The 23334-nt window shown below is 38.8% G+C and overlaps 1 protein-coding gene across 3 annotated transcripts in view, besides 1 other annotated feature; it reads left to right on the top strand.

Annotated features, from left to right (window-relative positions):
* Nucleotides 1-23334, top strand: part of RBMS1 (RNA binding motif single stranded interacting protein 1) — a 221657-nt gene that overhangs the window by 13997 nt on the left and 184326 nt on the right. The gene's annotated exons all lie outside the window — the stretch shown is intronic.
* Nucleotides 2534-3033: an enhancer, noted in NCBI's record as "H3K4me1 hESC enhancer chr2:161333289-161333788 (GRCh37/hg19 assembly coordinates)". NCBI's record gives its function as "activates a minimal SCP1, AML or CMV promoter by ChIP-STARR-seq in primed H9 embryonic stem cells {active_cell/tissue: H9 hESC(primed)}" and the evidence as "EXISTENCE:reporter gene assay evidence [ECO:0000049][PMID:30033119]".

Below are 23334 nucleotides of genomic sequence, written 5' to 3'. Positions count from 1 at the left end.
TTCTGGGAATTTATAACATCCAAGAATCACAGAATGTTAGAATGGGAAGGAACTTTAAGATCATCTAGTCTAAGCCACTCATTTTACAGATGAGAAAGGCTACCCAGAGTGTAGAGACAGAAGCAGAGCTCTAGGGAGGCAGAGAGAGGGGAAGTGGCAGAAGGGCCAGAGCTGGGGAGGGTCTGGGCATAACCTCACAGGACTGGTCAATCCATGGCCTGCAGAGGAAAAAGGGAGAAGAGAGACCACACAGGAGCTTCAGCATCACTCCAGGAAACTGATCACAGGTTGGATGGGATGCGAATGGGGCCAGTGGCACCAGCTGGTGTCTGAACAGGAATCAGTAATGGTCACTCTGTCTGAGGTCACCTGGCAGTCAGGGCCGGCCAGACTTTTGTGCTTTCTACAGCTAGCATAGCTGCTTCTCATGGTTTGGCAGAACAGCAGCATCCAGAGCTGATTCTGCCTTGCTCTCATGTGTCTAACCTGTTGTAGATGAGCTGGGTAGCCCAGAGCTGCGCCCTGCTCACCCTCCATGGCCCCTGGCCTATTCATGGCCTTGTTGTGTTTCTGAAGTCTTTCTTTGCCACATTCCTAAAGATTTTTGTTGTTATGGCTGTGGGGCCAAAACCCTCTTCACTTTTTCAGCATGCCTGGAATTTTCCCAGATCGGCTGGATGGACTCTACTTCATTCTTGGTAAAGTTTCTCTATCCTGCCATCACTACCTGTTGTAATTAGTTTGGTCAACAACAACAACAACCCAGTGAGGCTCTGATTAAACACCACCTCTCTCTGTTGAAGCCAACCCTTTCGTTCACCACGCTGATGGGAACCACCTTCCTAATGCCAAGCACTCCACACCGGTCTCTGTTTTTTTCCCTGCGCTATCTGAATACACTTGGCAGGTGGGCAGCCTTCAGGAATCATCATACAATTAGGCTTCAGGAGCTCTGTTTTAGTCAATTATGTGGATAACCTTGGAAAAACAAAATGCACAGTAGGTGGCATCAACAAGCCCGTTGTGCCTTTGGGCACAGCTTTTCCCTCGTGCTGTTTGGATCATATACTCATTAAGTCCACCAGCTGAAAATGTCACAACTGGCTGTGTGCCATGCATTAGGAAAATCAAATACAGGAGAAATTGGGATATATTGAGCAAATAAGAGAGAATGATTTTTCCACAATTTACAAAAGATTTACCAGTAAAAATGCCACCTTAGTTCATTTACATATTTCAAAGATGATTACAGGTCACTAACTCTTTGATAGAAAGTATAATTTAAACTAAAGCTATCAGGAACCATGGCATACTAAAGATTAATTAGATATTAGGAGAAATGGTTTGTGCAATTTCCTAAGTCTTTTGAAAAGGATGAGTTTGTTTTATTACATTTGATTTTCACCCAACTTCTTAGGATTGTATGATTGAGTAAAAGCAAGGTACAATTGTAGCTAGCTTTGTTTGTTTGTTTTTGTTTATTTCTCACTGTTTTAAGCGTCCTTCACCGTGGTTGGTTCAAAACTTTTCTTCCCATAAGTGTGTGTGACCATAACTGGTGAATTCTCGAAGTGTTGGGATACACAGAAGGAAAGGACCGTGGACAATTTAAAATCGTGCTATCTGTAAGGAAACCTAAGTTGTATGTGTACCATTATTATTTGACAAGTGTCATAGTCAAGGAGGTCTCCAGTGAGGAAGTGTGTTTTAAGAATGGGGAGAGACATGCCTTTGTAGACAGCATGCAGTGCCTTTTTGGTAGAGCAATTGGCCCGCTAGGACTAGAAGATTGGTTGGAACTGAGAGAATCATCTTAAACAACATGCTGAGCCAAAACATTTTTTGATGTTAATAATATTCATGTGTAAATAGATTGTTTCAAATCTCTCCGAAAACATAGCGGTAGCTTTGTACTTGGACTTCCTTTACTTGTTTAATTTTCAATGGTGAAAGATGGGCATGATGAACACCTTAAAAGTCATGTGGATTATTTTTCTGAGTTAAAAATGTATACATTCAATCGGAAAGATATAAAGTCTAAAAGGAAAGTGAGGGTCAAATAAGCAGATGAGGAATTATTATCCCTGGAAATACAGGGAATTTTCTTGTTGATACAAGTTTACTTCCTAAAATAAAAGTTTCTGGTTTTAGTACCTTTCATCAAACTTTCTTAATGTATTAGGAAGCTTTTAGCACAGTTTACCCACGTTCTCTAAGAATCTGCAGGCAAATTAAAAAAAAAAAGCCAGGCATGGTGGCATACATTTGTGGTCACAGCTACTTGGAGGCTAACGCAGGAGGATCCATTGAGCCCAGGAGTTTAAGGCTAGTGAGCTAGGATTGTGGCACTGCACTGCAGCCTGGGTGACAGAGTGAGACTCTGTCCCTTAGGGAAGAAAAATGCAGGCAAACTGAAGCAAGTATATAAAATTTTTTTAATTAATTTTTTTTTGTTGTTGTTGTTGAAACAGAGTCTCGCTCTGTAGCCCAGGCTGGAATGCAGTGGTGCAAACACAGCTCATTGCATCCTCAACCTCCTGGGCTCAAGTGATTCTCCTGTATCGGCCTCCGAAGTAGCTGAGACCACAGGCATGCGCCACCACGCCCTGCTAGATACATGCAATTCTGTGTTGGTTGTTTGTCACTCTTAGGCCGCCTGTAAAGTTTCATTCTTTCGTTGCTTAAAAAATGGAGACTGCTTACTAATTTGATTTTTGCTTCTTCTTATATTTTAACTTGCATTAAGTGACATTTCATTTAGACTATGCTGTATAACATTTAATGCTAGGGGAAAAAGACTGAGAAAGTCACAAAATATCAGGAAAGAAAAGGCATAGCATGAGGTTGCATGTGTATTTAGAAATAGTTTTATATCGTACTTTATAAACAGTAATTTGTGTACATGCAGGCTTCCTTTACAAGAACATAAGATCCTTAAAGACAAGAAGTGTGTTTTGGGCCGGGCGCGGTGGCTCACGCCTGTAATCCCAGCACTTTGGGAGGCCGAGGCGGGCGGATCACGAGGTCAGGAGATCGAGACCATCCCGGCTAAAACGGTGAAACCCCGTCTCTACTGAAAATACAAAAAATTAGCCGGGCGTAGTGGCGGGCGCCTGTAGTCCCAGCTACTTGGGAGGCTGAGGCAGGAGAATGGCGTGAACCCGGGAGGCGGAGCTTGCAGTGAGCCGAGATCCCGCCACTGCACTCCAGCCTGGGCGACAGAGCGAGACTCTGTCTCAAAAAAAAAAAAAAAAAAAAAGAAGTGTGTTTTGTTCAGTTTTGTGCCTATTACAATGTTTTGCACATAGTAGGTACTTGGTAAGTGTTTATTGAATTGAATCCATATTTTTTGTTTACCAACATGATAAAGAGGAATATGAGGCACAGACAGAATTCTTTAGTGATGAAATGCTTCTGCTTCAAATACATACGTGATTAGGATAAAAATGAGCTTTTAGCCTAAATTACCTAAGTAATATTCTCAATCTCAAGCTTTACTATGAGACTTGCTCATAGTGTCCCCAAAGGCAATCACTACCAAGTTAGTTTGTCGTTGTCACATAAACACTTCATAAAATGCAAAAAACCAAGTATTCAATGACTATCTTAAGTTAAATATCATGAATATAATGTGTATAGAAAAGGGAGGCGGTGGACAGGTGTGGTGGCTCATGCCTGTAATCCCGGCACTTTGGGAGGCCGAGGTGGGTGGATCACTTGAGTCCAGGAGTTTGAGACCAGCCTGTGCAACATGGCAAAACCCCATCTCTACAAAAAAATACAAAAATTAACTGGATGTGGTGGCTTGTTCCTGTAGTTCCAGCTACATGACAGGCTGAGGCGGGAGGATTGACAGAGCTCGGGGGGCGAAGGTTGCAGTGAGCCAAGATCACACAACTGCATTCCAGCCTGGGTGATGGAGTGAGAACCCTTCTCAAAAAAAAAAAAAAATGGGGGGCCCATTCTACTCTATTAGTATAATTTAAAAAATAACATATGGATGGGGCATTATTAATTGAAAAGCAATTAAATTTTAAAAAGCAAAATAAATGGCTACATATCTAAAAACAATATTTCTCAGGATTTGCTCAGGGTTTCTAAGGACCTAAAACTGTGTCTGACAAGAATATGTGATTATATTAGTTAGGATTCTGATAGGCAATGCATGACATACATACGCAAACTTGGTATTTAAGGAATGTTTACAAATGTGTTGGCAGGTCTTAGGGAAACCTAAAAGAGACAACGACATTTTCTGAGGCCAGCAAAATACGAGTGCTTTTACTACTCAAAGTCTGAAAGAGCAAAGGGTGGGAGCAGTTACCAGAACCTGGAGGGGAAGCCCAGTGCTGGGGGCTCCCTGAGAGAGGTGATGACCTTCAGCCAAGGACTAAGCCCATGTGGACCAGTTATGTCTCACTTTCCTCCTACCCTTAGATCTGCCAGTGCCTCCAATTGGAACCAATAGGAAGCCCGAGAGAGGAGGATACCAGTGATGCAGGGCCTGTGGTCGGCCCCCAGGTCACAGGATAGAGGGGAAAAGGTGGAGAGGCGAATGAAGTGTGGGAATCAGTAAATTTTGTTGAATAAAGGAATGGCTGCTTACTACTTTTCTTAATGGATAGTTTCATTTCTTTCAGTTAACATGGCTACCCATTGCCTTTTTAAAAATCTGCTGTGATTACTCAAATGAATTAGATAAGCAGTAGTGAGTGCCTACCATAGCATTTTTACAGGTCTATTGCAAAACAATAATGGAAACTTTCTAAGAAAATTAGTTATTAGTGGGATTTTTTAGGCTGTCTTCAGAAATCTGCATTATCTTAAGTCCATAACCTGAAAAAAACAATCACTTGAATCTCATAATTATTCAACAAGAATGTGAAAGATTATCACACCATAAATACGATATATTACTTGCGACGCAACTGAAAATACTTTGCAGGACATTGAGTTAATGGATATTTGTTTTCTGGTTATTCTTACACTACTCAAGCCTACTTTTTGCCTACCTTTTCCACATTATGCTTTATTTAATCTGTCTTTAATAGGTCATAAGAATTATATCAGAGATTTTGCATTTTAAAAGGAACAAGCTCTAAGTTTGATTATGACAAATGTTTGAAATGACTCTTCCTGTACATACGTACTCAAGAAGTTTTGTTTTGTTTATTGTGGTAAATAATGTTAAATTTGTCATTTTAACCATTTTTTGTGTACAATTCAGTGGCGTTGAATACGTTCACATTATTAGGCAACCATCACGACTGAAGAATGTTTTTTAATCCTTCCTATTGAGAGGTGGTGTTTCTGGTTTCACGGAGATGTTTTTCTCTTTCAAAAAGAACAACCGCAAAATCCCATGATCTTGCAGTCATATCAGTAAAGAAAATCTGCCCAAATCCTATCAAGTGATGTTTTAAAGTGGTATTAAATTAGCAAAGCTATTGTACGCTTGTTCATCAACACACACAAAAAAGAACTTGTTGGAAATAACTTTTAGAATGAACATGTCCCTTTAAACAGGAAGATGCTGTTATTTTGTTTCTTTTTATTTTACCTCTGAAGGAATTTTGTCAGAAGTCCAGCTAACACTCTAGACTCGTGGTTGTAATGTATGGGATATGCCACACTTTGTGACTCACCTTTTTTTTAATATATTTTTCAAATTTGAATAATAATATCCAGACTCAAACTTATGTTCCTTTGTTCATTTAATTGAGTTCTTGAGATGGTAATAACACAGCAGAGAAGTTTTTAACCTTTATGTATGATAAAACACATAATTAACTCATAATGTTTTATGAAAATATAAAGATAAAACTAGCTTTCCTCTACAACATGAGTTCTTCTTACCTGTTGTCATAGTAACCAGGTAAACACTACTAAAACCAAATGGGCATCAAAAAAGTTTTTCATATAAAAGGTATTGAAAATATTTATAGGACCTTTAAAAAATAGATTATCTGAGTAGAGGAAGAAAAGACTCAAGTAATAGAGGAGAAGTAGTCAAACTTTATTTGCATATGGAAAGAGAGTTGAGGGGGTGGAAATCTGCGTTGCTGAGAAAAAGAGTTTTCAGAGCAGACTGTTCTGGTATTTTATACCAATTATGTGCAGCTATTGCTTTGAATAAATTTTGCTGCCCTGCTGAGATTTCCTTTTTACAAATCCTAGAGCAATTATAAGATGGAAGTCTGGAATGTATAAACAATGTCCTTTGAACAGTAAATGAGCCTCATTCTTATAAAACTCAAGGGTAGGAATGTACTACCTTTTATCCTATGTTTCTCTGCCTTTCCTTCCTCCTTAATCATAGCACAGAAATTAGGGTCTGCTTCAAGAGTATATAAAAACATGAATTTTGCCTAAAAATACTTTTAAATGACAAATTCCATGAAATTAACAAAATCTCTCTGTTGCTACATAATACCTGTGTACTTAATACATGTTCAATACAGCAGTTGATTGAATATTCCTATTCTATTCTATTTCTAGCCTTAACACAAGAATCTGTAATAGATTACTTTTTTCTATAGACCTGGAAACAAAACACTGCACCAAGTCAGTGTGCATGGGGAAAAAGTGACAACCTTAGAGCGCAACATTAGGCTGAGTTTCCAAATGCCAGCTTGTTTTACGTGACAGAGCAATCTGCACTAATCAAGGCAAACAATGTATACAATCCTAAAGAGAAGTCAACTGTCACTTAGCGTTAACTGTAAAAGCCTGAGCTCCATTATTCTGCCAAACTTACAGACCTTATACAATGTTTACAATAAGGTTTGGAGAGTTGCCTAGCATTGGAATATATACAATTAAACAACATAGTTGAGTGGCCCTTTTATGTCAGCACTGCTAAAAGAGCACCATTATGTGTACTCATGATAGTCATTCTTGGAACTCTTAACATAAACAGGAATAGAGAACATTCATTTGTAATTCTATCTGAGTACGTGTGGGATTTTATTTTATTTTATTCACATAAACCCCCATGGAAACTAAAGATAGCAATAATAAAAGGATCACTGAATGAGAATTATTTCTGTGACTGTCAAAGAATGCAATACTTATATTGTTTGCAACTGAGCTTAAGCACTCACCTTATTTGGACTTTTATTTAAGCTTGTATAAAAAAGGGAGATTGTATTTAATTACAAAGTGAATTTTATTTGTTTGAAAATAACACTAGAAATTAATACAAAATGCATTTCCTGATTTCCTCTTTCAGACATTTTCAAAAAATAGCACATGCAAAGAGGCAACAATATTATCGATTAAAATGAAACAAAACACAAGCTAACTTTTAAGTTCACATCATATTTTGTTAAAGTTAGTTAGGCTAATTTTATAGTTATAGCTCGGCCAGAATGTTTTATCCTTCGGTGTTGTTAGCAACAGTAAAAGGGAATGACACACAACTGAAGCAATTTTTTTTGAGGAAAATAGAAATATTTAAGAGATTGATTTATAGTTCTATCACTCAGAAATACAAATATATATATTTTTAATGTAGGTATTGGGTTTTTATTGAAGTTTTCTTTCTCTGCCTGTTTCCCAGAAATGTTTGGCTTTGTAATTCTGAGAAATAGTTTACATCAACACCAGAATAAAATATAGTTATGTCAACTGACACAAAAATGCCTGACTCAAAACGAGGAGGAAGATTTGGGCTCAATTTAGGTCACTGAAGCCAGTGACGCCAGCTGTTTTTGCTTCTGTTTTCTAGTCTGTTGTCTGAAATTTGGAAATTTGTTAAGCATGTTTCTAGAGAGAGGATTTAACTGCTTCATACAAGTTTACCTGTTATTTAGCAAAACATAAATAACTGTCAGCCCGATAAATAGATTTACAGCAGGATACTTGAATGATTGAGTGCTAGTGTACCTCAAAATATCAAAACAGTTCCTAAAATGTAATTTTTCAATGAGAAATGAAATGTTTGCCTCCCTCTAACCCTGGCCTGAAACTTGTAGTTTAGAGCCCTTAATACAAACAACTTTTTGTCCTTTACTTTCTCTTAGAGTATAAATCCTCTTCACTTCTTCTAATACCTAGTGGACTTCTACTTATAATCAGAATGTATGAAAGGTTATATATATATATATATATATATATACACCAAAGGATTTCCCAAACATGATTTTGTCTCTACTTTTGGAAATGAGGGAGGGAGTTTCTTGGAGTACAAGTTGTGAGTTGCGAGAGATCAACCAGTTGCTCCAGATATTCTTTAAACAACCCAGCATTGTGATTCACACATATTTGTAATATGCTTCTCTCTCCCCAAAAATATGTATTTCAAACATTTTCCTCTATTCCTAATTTTTCCATAAGTTGATGAATAAATTTAGTTATGACTTTATAAACTTAAAATATCTCCTTTAAATTAATATTTTTCTAGATTAGAGACTCCTAGTTTTAATATGTATACTTACATAGAAATGTCTGTATTCCTTGAATCATTTTAGTAATTCTGCATTTCATTGTTTTCAAAGGGCAATCATTACAACCTCCTAGAGTGACCAATTTACACGCACTTGAATTTTGTACATAGAAGCATTATGTTTTCAGTTTTATTTCCAATAAATAGTTTTTATTTCCCTGCCCAGCATTTATTGCCCTTTTGAGTTTTGGTTCATATTGGGCTCCTGCCTTTCAGAAACTGTCCAAAATAACTCCCAAATGGTTCCAGTTAGAACTGGTGGTTTAGTGGGCTAAGTCTTGCTTATGGATATTGAAGATCATCTGTCACTTTTCTGTCCCACTTTTCCCACAGCTTATCCCCATCAGCTCAGTATGTCAGTGCAATGAAAGGGTAGGGTGCTATATGCAGATTTGGAGATTTTATTGTGGACAGATGCTTTCTAATACTGTATAAAAATGTTGAAATAAAAAGACATGGGTCCGAGAGAGACCATTCTTGGAACTGAAGGCAAGAATTACACCATGTTGGTTTCCTGTTACATTTTCTTACATTATAACATTCATTGCACAGATATTCTTAACTAGGCATATGGGGGATTCATAGGTTGGTCATACCCCCCCCACTCTGAGAGCGAGTACAGTACAGTCTGATACAGGAAATAGAATATAGTAAACAGACATTAACAATCTAAGATGAGGGCCACGGATGGTATCAGGAGAGAGATCTGCAGAAAAACTAGAGAAATAGACCTAATTTCTGTCCAGGAAAGATAAAAAATGTTCTATGGATGAGGCAACATCCATCTTGCATAGCTGTAGGAATTTCCTGGCAGGTATAGACTATGATAGAATTTACTATAATAAGGAACATTGTTATTAACAATAACGATAGTAATGATAGTGATTACAGGTAACATTTTTAAATATTTACCATGTGATGGGCACTGTTCTAGAAAATTTATATGTATGCAAATCACTATTGTTAAAATATAAAACATAGATAAGTATGAACATATTTTATGTTAGAGTAAGTAATAGGAAAAAGGAAGAGGACAACAAATTGATGTGGTTGATAAATAGAATAAATTTAATTTATAAATGTTATACTTTTTCATATAATCAGGAAAATACCTGTGTACTGTGAGAAGTAAATAATGTTGTTGTTTTCTACTGACAATCGAAAAACTCTATAATACAGATAATTAACATACGCTAGGAAGTAAAAATAAATTGGGTTTATAGAATAATATTGGGGAGTGTGATGTGGAGCTGTTCCAAGCAGAACACCAGCTTGCATTTGTTTTTCTTTTACATCTACACCCACACAACAGCCTCATGGGTTTAAAAATATATCTGTGCAGTTTTACTGTCTTGGCTCTGGAGTACCATACTCAATGAAATCCTAGTTACCAGCATAAGGCTTCAGATGTTGCCAGTACAGGCCAGACATTTTTTATTAAGAATCTTCTTTATCATTCCTCCTTTCAGAAATTTCTAGCCCCTCCCTGATTTTCACTGTTGTGTCTATTCATTACGAGGTCAACTTTTCGTCTCCTTTATTTTATTTCAGCTTTTTGAAATCTGTTAACCTCTTTCCAACTTACATTCCAGAATGAGTCTGCCCTGTAATTCTATGTTATCTCATGACAGCTCTTTGGGTACTTCCCCAGAATCATTTCTGCGTTGATACGCTTGTTTGAGAGTTAGTTACAGAATACCAATAAAGTCCTGAGAGGAAACAGAAGGTCTGGGTAGAAATGCTGAGGGTAGTGACTCCCTGAAGAAAAGGGTCTGTGGAGAGGTGGGTACCAAGATGGGAAACTAGAAAGCGTTGGATAGTGATTCTTGCAGAGTGTTAGCCAACTGAGAAGAAATTAGAACCCACTAAAGAAACAACACATTTAGAGAATGGTTGGAAGCTCTCAAGGCCCTGCAGCCCCGAGTTGCAGACACCTTGTGTGGGCGGACTCCAGGGAAGCCTGGAGTCAGGGCTGGGTGGCAACAAGAACCAAAGAGATGAGAAACAGCCCCAGGCGGGAAGCTCTGGGTCCTGTCCTGCCTCTCTGACAAAGAGGACAGGACGCTGGTTTGAGTTAAGGTTGAAAACGAGGGTAAACTCAGAAAAGAGATTGCAAGTGCAATGAAAGAATGATTTAATGTGTAAAGATGAGCCAGACCATGTGGAATTTGAAAGGGCACCTATGATATGTCTAATTTGTATGTAGTTTATTTCCTAAGATTCTCTTTGTGTTTTCTTGTAAACAGTTACCAGGACCCAAATCAGGGATGAGGGTATTCCAAGAAAAGTACAAAGGCATGAATCCAAGTGGCTCTGTCTTTGGAGGGGAAACCTGTATTCTTTTAGATGATGGTAACAGAACATTTCCCAAGAAATGGCATTAGAGACTGTGTTGAAGGGTCCTCTGGGGCTGGGTTTTGGCATATGTATATATAATAATTCTAACACAGGTAGCCCTATCCATGGGTAAAGGCAAAACTAATGCTAACAAATAATATTTTCTGTGAGCCATGATTTAGCTAACCCCTGATACTTCCTTTCATGCAAGAGTTTGAATCTCTCTTGACCAAAATATATGTTCACTTTTCAAAGTTGAATTAATGGATACAAATTACTTTAATGATGTCTTACATTGTAGATTTTTTAAAAGCCTTCAAGATGAAGTTACCTCAAACTTTCCTGCCCCAAATAGAAGTTAATAATATCTACTTAATCTATACATTTTAACCAAATGATCAAATTTACCTGTCCCACATACTGTACATAATACTATTAGTTTGAGTGAAAGCTAATCAAAGTAATCAGAAAATAGATTGTATGTTTTTTGTTGAAATTGAAGGAATGAAAATAAGTTTACTTATATTAAGGCTGACTTTTCATAGATAAACTTCCAATGCTAGGCAGTAAAAACGCCTACTCAAGATTGGAGCAGGGTGCATTTACCTGTCTAACCATTTTGTAACTGTGCCATAACCATGTTGGCAAACAGTCCAAAACTAAATCAGATAGAAACATGAATCCATGTTCTCAGAGATATTGTTAATGAGCCACTTGTGAGCAGGGGTCGTGCCTTCAATTTCTTTGAAACCTTTGTTACTCATGTAGTGGATACCCACTAATAAATATTTGTTGAGTGACCCAGACCCATATATATAATATCACCTTATTCTTTTAGGAAAATGGCTACTACATTTCTTTAATTCTAATGCACACCTTTCCTCCCCATTCTTTAACATCCCTGAAGTTGGGGTGTGTCTTACATTTGATGGCATGTTTCAGTGGGTCATCAGCCTGGATTAGAGTCAAGCTCTTCAGAGGAGATTTGTGTTTGCTTGTGATAGCCATTCAGGGACACTACCAATCTGAGACTGCTTGATATTAAATTACCTGCTTGAGGTTTTCTTGTACCACACTGGTTGTGTGGATGCAGTACCAGTTGGCAGTTTGCATTCTCAGAGATTTTTTTTTTTCTTCAGCTGGTCCCAAGCTTGAGATATACATGTCTACTTGCTGTTTCTTTCAGCATGGCAAGTTTATTTCTTGTTAGCCCTTCCCTAGAAAATGTGACCCTTTGGTGTCTCAGTTTTCTGTAGCAGTCTTCTGTCAGACTCTTCATTTTGGAACATTTAAAAAATTTATTAGTGGTACATAGACTAATGGTGTATCCTACTGTTGATGGCATTTTAGACCTGATGAAAACTTGTTTATGTTGCTATATATCCAGCTGATCCATGACATTTGAAAGCCCAGACAGGTTTTGCCTTGTTGACTGCCAGTGGGACCAAAAAGCTTATTTTGTATGGAAGATGGTTGTGGTGCTCTCATACATTGAAAATTATGAGTAAGTCTAGATGACCATGTCTTCACAGTGTTATTTCTGCTAAACCTCTCTGACGTTTGGGAAACAAACTTGGCTGTAGTTTCTTTCGTCACTGTTCCTTGCTGTGCATAAGGTTCACTTAGAGATGGCACTCAGGCGATAAGACTAGGAATCCAAGTGGTGTTTAATCAGAAATCCTGGTTCTTCTCCTTGGCTCTCACTAAATGAACTTTCTTCTCCTTTGTGGCTAGGCTTTCACCTTGTACACTTACTGGTCAGCTGCGTTCATTTTGCATTCCTCACAGCAGTTGGTCCGTGCCCACCTTTTTTTTTTTTTCTTTTTACCCCCATATGATCTGCAGGAACGCCCATCTTTTTGTTATCATGTGCAGACTAGAATGTCCTCCTGACTTATAGTCTTCACTGGGTAACATTCTATGCATTTCTCTCCTTCCATAGTGTTGCTCACTTTCCTAATGCTCTCTCCCTGGATAATTCGCATCTTGTTTGGGAAAAGAGACAAGGAGAAGACAATTAGTTAACATTTATTTATTTATTGCCTACTATTGTCAGGCACTTTAAGAAATTATTTTATCAACAACTGTAGCAAATAATTATTATCATCCCATTTTACATAAGAGGAGGCTGGGGTTCACAGAGGTGAAGCAACTGCCCAAGGTCATATGGCAGGTAAGGAGTTGAGCCAGGATTTGAAACCTCCGTCACACTTCAAAGTCACTGTTTTCACTCCACCTCACTGCTTCCCTTGAAGCAGAGCTTCACTTAGCTTTTTGTTTTTGTTTTTCTTTATCTCCTTTTAGGTTCACTTAAGTTACTTATCCACAATAAAGATCAAAACTGTAAAGAAGTCAACTAAAAGCAGATACAGCAAACGATGGCATCATAGGTGTGGGTTCTGGAACTTGAGATTTGGGCTTTAATTTTGTTCTGTTTTTGTTTTTGTGTGTGTTGTGTACATGTTGGCTTTCTGTTACTGTGTTAACATTTGAGAAATGAGTATTTCAGATAAAAACAAAAGCTGAGGACTTCACTGTTCCAATTCTCAAATTTAAAAATCTTAAAATTAGCCTGACATCTGCTTGGTGTCTCATTTTCACATGGATGTCTAATTTAGAGGGTTTTTTCCTCTTTAACTAGAGTTTGGCAAAGCATCAATTGAAAGCAAACAATATTTTATATTTATATTTTGTTATATTCAGAGGAATCTCTAGAATATATCAGTACCGTATAATTTATTGAATACATTTAATGCCATAAAAGAATGATTTTAGGAGCTTTGGTTTTTATAGGCATGATTGGCAGAATATAGAATCTCTAGAATATATCAGTACCATATAATTTATTGAATACATTTAATGTCATAAAACAATGATTTTAGGAGCTTTGGTTTTTATAGGTATGATTGGCAGACATAATGTAACTCACTTGAGATGGTAATAAATTGCAATAAAAGTACAATAAAACACTTAAAACACTTTGTGTGTATATTCCATATGATAGTCATACATAGATACATTTTAAAATAATAAACACTTTTCTGATAAGTGTTAGAATTATCATGACAGGGAGGCTGTGTGGAAGTTAGATGACATTCTTAACTACTATGTAAAGATTGAAATTCTAGAAATGTGAGAGTGTGTGTGTGTGTGTGTGTGTGTATGTGTGTGTGTGTGTGTGTGGTGTGGGGAGGGTGTAGCTCTGCCAAAGCCCCTTTGTACCTGGAGTTTTGTTGCCTGTTTCTTGATCAGACCCAAGCATAGGCTTAGATGATCTGAATCAGTTTCGTAATCTGATGAGCTCTGCTCTGAGCTTTGGTAACTGTTGAGAACACTCAGGAGAAGGCCCTAGAGAGAAGAGAAGATTCTGCCCCACAGTCCTCCGGCTTGGTTCCTGTGCCAGGCCTGCTTTAATGATTCAATGCTGGGGTTCCTTACTCCTGAGATTGGTTGTAACCTGGTTAGTGTCTGACCTTTTCTTACCTGAGTAAGATCTAGAGTACTTCTCTGAGAGTAAGAGATACTTAGGTAGCCTGAAAGCCTGAGGGCTGACATGTGATGACCAAAAAAGCGGTGCTTCTTTTATCAAACAAAAAATCTGAATAAAAAATGTAGGATTGAGTTGGGCAGGAGCAATGTTAGAGTTAGCCAACAATATCGAGTACTGTTTGATTTTTTTGTTCAGTATAGTTGTTGATATTTGTTATGCAAAGACTATTGGTGGCTACCTTAGAGATAGGATGAACCAAACACTTAATCTTGAATTTCTAGAGAATTGCGTCATAAGATGTTGGAAGTACAATCATAATGACTATGCCAAATACAAGTTACACCACATCACATGCTTTTGTCATTAATGGTGACAGGTTGGCCAATTAATCTGTCTCTTTGGAAAACCTTCAAAGAAAGATTAGCTTATTTGACTTTTTGTCATGGTGATTATTTGATGATAACTCACTTTGGAACATCCTCAAGATTCATTTGCTTAGATGCCCTTTAATAAAAACTCTTGACAAGAAGATAAAGATAAATATTGACCATTTTATTTATGGAACTACAGTAGCATACTATTCTGTAAATAAGCACATTGCAATTATTCTTGGACAATATCAAACCTAGTGGAAATCCTTCCTTATGGTGTACAGAAACCTACTTACAGAATATGACAGGATTCTTAAATAAGAATTAGTCCATTTCATGTGGTTCTTGCAAGGGCAAGAATATTTTCTTAACTCTTCACATCCTAGGATTAATGACATGTTCAATAGATATTTGTCAAATGCATAAGTAAATGGGCAATTGAATGAACTCAAGAAAATGTGTGACTTTTAAATGGAAAATAGTGAAAGTTACACAATATTTAAAAAGTAACTTAATATTCAAAAAGCTGCTGAGGACAATATAAAAGATACCAATATAACCACCTGATAGTGTTAACAGATTACAATATTGACCATATGCTTTACCTCCTTTTTTCTTTTTAATAAAAGAAAATATTGCCTGCCTTTCTTCCTCAGAGGCACCTCTCACCATGAATTTCAAGTCTACTCTTAATATGCACACTTTTCCTACATTTTTGTATGTTAATAAAAAATACGTACAACTGTATTTTATGTTTTTAAATCTACATTTATGATGTCACAATCTATGTATCCTTCCGCAGTTTTCTTCATGCAGCATTGTTTTTGAGAAATGTCTTATTTTATTCATTTTGTTGCATAGTAGTTTTCTGTTTTTTAATTATATCATAATTTGCTGAACTGTTTACTTTTTGATGATGTAAGCTGTTGCTGGTTTTTCCAGTTACAGATATGTCATGGTGCCCATCCCTGTGTGGATCTCTGTATGCATGTGTGGTAAATTCTCTGAGACATGTGTCTGCAAGTGGAGTGGGGAGTCGTGGTGTGGCATGGTGTGTGTTTCCTGAAGGGGATGTCTTGATTTATCCTTCCACTGGCATATAGGAGAGCACTTTGCTCCATACTTCTTTTAAAAGGCTTTGGCATTTAGTTAGTAAAATAGTGTTTTGTGTATGTGTGTTTTTTTAAGTTCATCGTAGGTGGCTTAACTGCATTTAATTTCACAAAATTCAAATTCCTTTTCATAACCATAGAGAAAGACAGACCACATAATAAACAAAACACTTGTGAATGAAAAAAGAGAACAGCCATGGAATGAAATAGGAGACATAAAGTTAAATTGCCTTTGTTGCTCTCCATCAAAGCTGCTGTTTTGTTTTTTTGAGACGGAGTTTCACTCTTGTCACCCAGGCTGGTGTGCAATGGTGCAATCTCAGCTCACTGCAACCTCTGCCTCCTGGGTTCAAGCGATTCTCCTGCCTCAGCCTCCTGAGTAGTTGGGATTATAGGCACCTGCCACCATGCCCGGCTAATTTCTGTATTTTTAGTAGAGATGGGGTTTCACCATGTTAGCCAGGCTGGTCTCGAACTCCTGACCTCAGATGATCCACCTGCCTCGCAACTCCCAAAGTGCTGGGATTATAGGCCTGAGCCACCGCGCCCGGCCGCAAAGTTGCTGTTGAACTCACTGAAGTGCGTCTCATTCTGAAAGGGCCGGTGGCTCACCCTCCTGATTACAATCCTGGTTGAAAAGACTACATCATTATCATTTTCAGCCCTAAATACTTAGTCTTGTATCAGCCTGAATTGATGTTTTTTGAGAGGCATGTTATAAAATGAAAGTAGATATCTACTGAAAGGTTCTGGATTTAATAGCTTAAGTGAGTAAGAATCAGCTTTCACAGTTATTGGATTAACCATCCTGACCACTCTGAACATCTTTTTGAACCTCTTTTTTCTAGAACAGGTTATCATTTCTTTTATGTGAAAACTACTTTTGGCAGAAATGAAACCTGGTTTTGTCAGAAGGGTAAGAAAAAGCATCTGGCTAATTTTATGGATAACATTTTTTTTTTCTTTCTTCTCTTGACAGCGGGTTCCATTTTCTTCTCAGTTCTGCAGGAAGAGCCCATTTCCTTGCTATGATTTTCCTTTCATGTATACTGTAAATAACAAATGTTAGACTGCCTTCTAACTTCCCATCTCTTCCATTCTTTTTGGGGTTTCATTCTTTAACTGAAATGTCTATCTAAGTTTAGAAATGATTTTGGCTGGCCAGGTGCTGTGGCTCACGCCTGTAATCCCAGCACTTTGGGGGACCGAGGCGGGTGGATCACCTGAGGTCAGGAGTTCGAGACCAGCTGGCCAACATGGTAAAACCCCATCTCTGCTAAAAATACAAAAATTAGCTGGGCATGGGGGTGCCCAGCTACTCGGGAGGCTGAGGCAGGAGAATCGCTTGAACCCGAGAGGCAGAGGTTGCAGTGAGCCGAGATTGCGCTATTGCACTCCTGCCTGGGTGACAAGAGTGAAACTCCATCTCAAAAAAAAGAAAGAAATGACTATGGCTAATATGATGTTCCATATCTTTTGCTTAAAGTTTCTATTCCTCTTGCCAAATATTCTTCTTGTTCAGAGTATTATTTCTACTTACCCAGTACTAGAATCTCAAAAACCGCCTAGGTTTAAAGTCTTCCACCCAGATACCACTCACTGTGCTTTTTCAACAAAATAGCACCTTTTCTTCTTTCTTCACCTCCTTCCTTTTCTGCCCTAATTTGACTGGTGTCATATGTTAACATTAAAGGCCTGCTCAGGGCTGCTACCTAGAAATCTTGGGCAAAAGGCATAAGACAGAGCAGAGGGCAGGCATTGTGTCCTTATACTAAGCATGGTCAAATGCTTGAGTGTCCACTTGCCAGTTATTTGTGATAAATAGCACAAAACAGATTGGTTTTTCTCACAAGGCAACAGGTTGTCAGGTCACTTGAATACCCTCGCCCTGGTGAATCTGATGCACATCCAAGTTTGGGGCCCGTTGAGCTAAGCAAAGGAGAACTTGGAAAGGAAATTGGTGAAGAGCCTGTGAGGCATCCACTAGCTGAAAACAATAGTAATAACTCTTGTGCTGTCTGTTGTTCAGGGCTATCTGCTCTGCCACTTGCCTTCCATTATCATAGAAAACTGAATATTGATTGAAATTATTAAATCAAGAAGATGGCAATAATGATTCTACTCGACAGTCTGCAAGCCTGAGGGATTGTTTTACAACGAAGCAAATGGCCACTTCAATGGCTAATGCCTAAAAGAAAATAACCAGCAAGTCCAAGGGCAACGAAACTCTCTCTCCTTGCTATGATCTCCTATTATTTTCTACTGGAAATGTGTATTTGTGAAGAATTTCTGAATTGTTAGCTGTAGGCAAATACTTGTGTGAGCCAAATGGAGTACAGAGCAGTGAAAGTGGAGGTTATAACGCAAAGAGGAAGGCAGCGGTGAGTGGCAGTGATGGGTGTGAGCCCAGCTGGGGTATCTTCTGCAGCCTTTGCAGGCCTGCACACATGCTTGGCCTATAGCGCTCCCGAAGCTGGACCAGCCAACCGCAGCTTTCCTTCCAGAGGTGATGAAGGTGCAGGCTCTTGCCCTCAGTGACTGTTGCGCTGACTTTACAAAAATGAAATGAAAGGGACAGGAAGTCATTCCTGTCCCTCCACTTACTGGAATTAAAGTGAAGAACTTCAGGCAAGGCCACGGCCACCCTGCCTCTCACTCAGATGCTTGAAATGCCACCATTTTCTCCTTATTCTTTTCATCAGAGAATTATTATTGATTTTTTCAAAAGAGCATATTTTTTCTTTCTTTCTTTCTTTTCTCTTTCTCTCTTTCTTTCTCTCCCTCTCTCTCTCTCTCTCTTTCTTTCGAGATGGAGTCTTGCTCTGTTGCCCAGGCTGAAGTGCATTGGATCAATCATAGCTCACTGCAGCCTTGAACTCCTGAGCTCAAGTGATCCTTCCACCTCAGTCCCTTTGTTGCTGGGACCACAGGCATGCAACACCATACCTGGATAATTTTTTTAAGAGATGGGGTCTTGCTGTGTGCCCAGACTGGTCTCAAACTACCGGCTTTAAGTGATCCTCCAGCCTTGGCCTCCCAAAGTATTGGGATTACAGGCGTGAGCCACCTTACCCAGCAAGAACACCTTTTCTAGGAGGGATAATATTAAGTTTTATTGCTCATTTAACTCTTATTATTGTAGACTAGATGAAGGACGGAGATGACAAGAGGATGCTGTATGTCTTACAAGATCATAGGAAAAGGGAGGTTGAGGGCACGGATGTTTCTCACAGAGCTTAGGGACTGGGGAGAAAACACACATCCTTTCTTCTACCTCGCCATTCAATATGGTTATATTAGTGAAACCAGAATAAGATATATCAGTGAAATCAGAATAAGATATATTAGTGAAATCAGAATAAGTTGACTCAAGGGCATCATTAAAAAGAAGCAAAACAGCCAGAGAGGAAATTGCGGAAAAGCAACAGGTTGTCCAATGGCCTGTGTTAGAAAAGGAAGCAGGCACTGTTGTGTAGTGGCAGAGCCAGGACTCCCTTCCCCTGGTAACTAGCTAGCTGATAACCTGTGGTCACACCCCACTGACCTGTGGTCATATCACAGTTGTCCTGCGTGACCTTACGTGAGACTGCTAGTCTCTCTGAACCACAGTGTCCTTATCTGCAAAACTGGGGAAACGATGCTGACTTTGCAGAGCTGTTGCCAGGATTAAATATATTGTCATCTGCAAAGCCCCTGGATTGAGGTGTGTGTGTGATATGTGTTGATTCCCTTACCTCATGGTGACATGCTGAGTGGTGAAGGCACCCAGGCTGCTCACCACCTGCTTCTCCTCCTGTTCCTCTGACTTGGTGCCTTTCAGAGTCATTGAATGCCCTCAACTCCCTATTCCCCACAAAAAGCAAAAAGCAGATGCCTCTTCAAAGTTATGACCAGAATCAGGGCATTCACCTTGATTGCCTTGCTTTGGGTAAGGACAACCACTGGGGGAGGAGTGGAGCCATCACCTGCTTCAGGGAGCATCTGCCTTCTGTGGGCCCAGAGGTTAGTTTTAACTTATCTACAAGGTTAATGGATTGAATTGTGTGTTAGATTGTAATTAAGAATTTTCCCCAATTAATGATGCTGGTGTAGGAAAAGTCATAAATCCTCCCCTGGCTCAGCAGGCTTAGGCTTGAAGTTAAGTGGTGTTTAGAGGAAGTTCCTGTGTTCCTAATATATACTTTTGTGCACATTGGTTTCAATCAATATTGATGAACTGATCTCTTAGAAAGAAGATAGGTGCATTAGACCTTAGATCATCTATTTAGTAAATCAGTGGCTATGCTTGGAGTATTAGTGTCAGGCCCTATTGTGAAACATTACTTTCTAAGTAATGGAAAAGTGGAGTAAATTATTTATTGAGAACTTTGGTCATAAAATACCTCCTGGTCACTGGAGGCAATAAGATTAACCATGTAACATGTGAAATAATACATGATTTTGGTCAACAGTTAATAATGATAAATGTGGAGGAGAAAGAGGAAAACGTTTTTTAAATAGGTCAGAAACACAATGCTTATGTTGGTTTATACTTCTGCTTGAAATTTTAAAAGATTAACATGTGTATCACTTTCAGTTATTTGAAATATGCTGTTAAGAATTAAGGATTTAAAAGTTTCCCCAAAATATATTTAATCTTTTAAGAATTTGCGCTATTAAAAAGATCATGGAGGATCAAGTAAAAGCATTTTAAATGTAAATCTTAGAAGCAGAAAGAATGATAGTACTTTGTGTGGTGTCCTGTTTATTTTTCTAACATGAAATTAAATGTCACGTACTCGGGAAGCCACCCAGTGTTTTCTCTAAATAGTAGATACTTATGGGAAGTAGGAATAAATATGCCAGTGCTAGAAATGAGACAAATAAAGCATGAATTTACATGAATGAAAACCATCTATTAACGGGATTATTTGGAACATAAATAGAGACCGACCCTAACCCAAACAATCTCAAAACAATTGCATCACAAAAAATGATTAGACTGTATGATGGGTATTAGGTCTTTTCTCCAAAACAGTATCCTCAAGGTGCTGCCTGAACTAAGGAACTATTTGAGCTCATGCGATTTTTGCTTGAGCACTTCTGATTTGTGGCTACAGAAAAGTCAAAGCAGCACATAAGGGCTGTGTGCATCTAAAGTGAATGCAGTGTAAGGGCCCGCCCCATCCAGTAAGCCATTTCTCCATAACTGTGCATATAGTTTACATTATTGGCCTTCATGTTTAAAAAGTTACTTTGGAGATTTTTTTTTTTTTTTTGAGACAGAGTTTGTTCCTGTTACCCAAGCTGGAGTGCAATGGCACGATCTCGGCTCACTGCAACTTCTGCCTCCCGAGTTCAAGTGATTCTCCTGCCTCAGCCTCTGGAGTAACTGCGATTATTGGCATGCGCCACCACGCCCAGTTCATTTTTGTATCATTAGTAGACATGGGATTTTACCATGTTGCCCAGGCTGGTTTCAAGCCCCTGACCCCAGGTGATCCACCCGCCTTGGCCTCCCAAAGTGCTGGGATTACAGGTGTGAGCCACCGTGCCCGGCCTGGCAATTTCTTTTAGTTAGTGTTTTCTGACATCCAGGAAACCAAGATGTGACCAACAATTTTTACTACAGATCTGAGGAAGTTTTGTGGAGTGTGGTTGCCATGTGAAGACCTCTCTATCCTGTGTAAAGATTTAAGTAACTTTAAATATGAGTGAATTGGGAAGAAAATGCTTTCAAATGTAATTTGACATTGAAAATAGTTTCCGTGGCAAGTTTCTGGATCTGTTTTTTTAGATATTGACAGTTTTAGGCCAGATGCCATGGCTGGTGCCTGTAATCCCGGCACTTTGGGAAGCCCAGACAGGAGGATCACTTGAGGCCAGGAGTTCAAGACCAGCCTGGGCAACAAAGTGAGATTCTATCTCTATGAAAAATAAAAATATTAGCTGGGTGTGCTGGCAAGGACCTGTGGACCCAGCTACTCAGGAGGCTGGGGTGGGAGGATCACTTTTGCCCAGGAGGTTGAGGCTGCAGTGAGCAATGATCACACCACTCGGCCAGGGTGACACAGTGAGACACTGTCTCAAAACAACAACAACAACAACAACAACAACAACAAACAAACCAATAACCCCAAAAATAAATTTTAAAAATGAGTCAGAGAAACCTTTATTTTTTGCATATTTGTTTTGCCCTCACGCAATAATCTGCCTCAAAAGTAGTGAGCTGCACCCGAGAATGCCAGGAAATCACCGAGAAAGTCACACGATGTGTGAAAGTGCGACTTTCAAGCTGGCACCTGTTAGTGCATAGGCAGCCCTCCCCAGCTGATCACATATTGTATGTTGCCTATTTAGCAATCTCTGGTCTGTGCTCTGAATCCTTATCAAATTGTAAGATCATCTTTCATGGTGGTATCATTTCAATATGAATCTGTAATATTATCCAATACTTGCCATACAGCAAATACATAAAGCAAATTGTAGCTATTTCTTGAAGCCATTAGTTCTGCAAGAAATGGTTGTGTTTCCTTTCTCCCACACCATTTATGGCAGTGAAACATGAATCAGAAAGACCATGTTCAAATCTCAGCTCTGCTACTTACCAGCTGTGAGAGCCTCAGTTTACTCCTTTCAAAATGAGGATACCGCGCGGTGGCTCACGCCTGTAATCCCAGCACTTTGGGAGGCTGAGGCAGGCAGATCACCTGAGGTCGGGAGTTAGAGACCAGCCTGACCAACATGGAGAAACCCTGTCTCTACTAAAAATACAAAATTAGCTGGGCGTGGTGGTGCATTCCCGTAATTCCAGCTACTCGGGAGCCTGAGGCAGGATAATCACTTGAACCCAGGAGGGGGAGGTTGCAGTGAACTGAGATCGCACCACTGCACTCCAGCCTGGGCGACAGAGCAAGACTCCATCTCAAAAATAAATAAATAAATAAATTAATTAAATAAATAAAAATAAAATAAACATAATAAATAATAAATAAAATAAAATGAGGATACTACTGCTAATTCACAGGCCTGTCAATCTTTTCAGCCTCTAATAAGATATACAAAGTCCCTCATATCTGGCTAGCTGAAGTTTATTAGAAAAGAAGTGCCAGGTTTTTTGTTGTTGTTTGTTTGATTTGGCACACTATCTCTACTATCACTGTTGATAAAATAGCCCACAGAGAACAAGTACAGGTCAAAGTAGACTTTGTGAAAAATGTATTGAATTGAACTGATTGGAATTCAGCCGGCAGTGGGTGGCTCAAGGGGAGGCTGGAGAAGAAGCCAAATTGGAAGAAGGGGAGGTCACATTGCTGCTGGAGAGTGGATCACTTGGCAGTGAGGGAACAGACAGTCAAAATATAAGAAATAGGAACAGCTCAGGAGAGCATTCAGCTTCCATGTGGTGAAGGAACAAATCATCCTTACATATCTTAGCAGCTTGGAGGCTGTTTTACAGTAGAGCATGATAGCTAATGTTTAAATTATGCTCAGTCTACTGTGAATTATTAAGGGAACTTTAAATTATGCTCAAGGTATTGTGTTTAGAAGAGAAGGAAAATTTACAATATGGCTTAGAAAACTTTCCATTAGAAGGAG

This window comes from Homo sapiens, chromosome 2 (genome assembly GCF_000001405.40).
Source record: "Homo sapiens chromosome 2, GRCh38.p14 Primary Assembly".
Lineage (NCBI taxonomy): Eukaryota > Metazoa > Chordata > Mammalia > Primates > Hominidae > Homo > Homo sapiens.
This window is presented reverse-complemented; position numbering and strand designations above follow the sequence as displayed.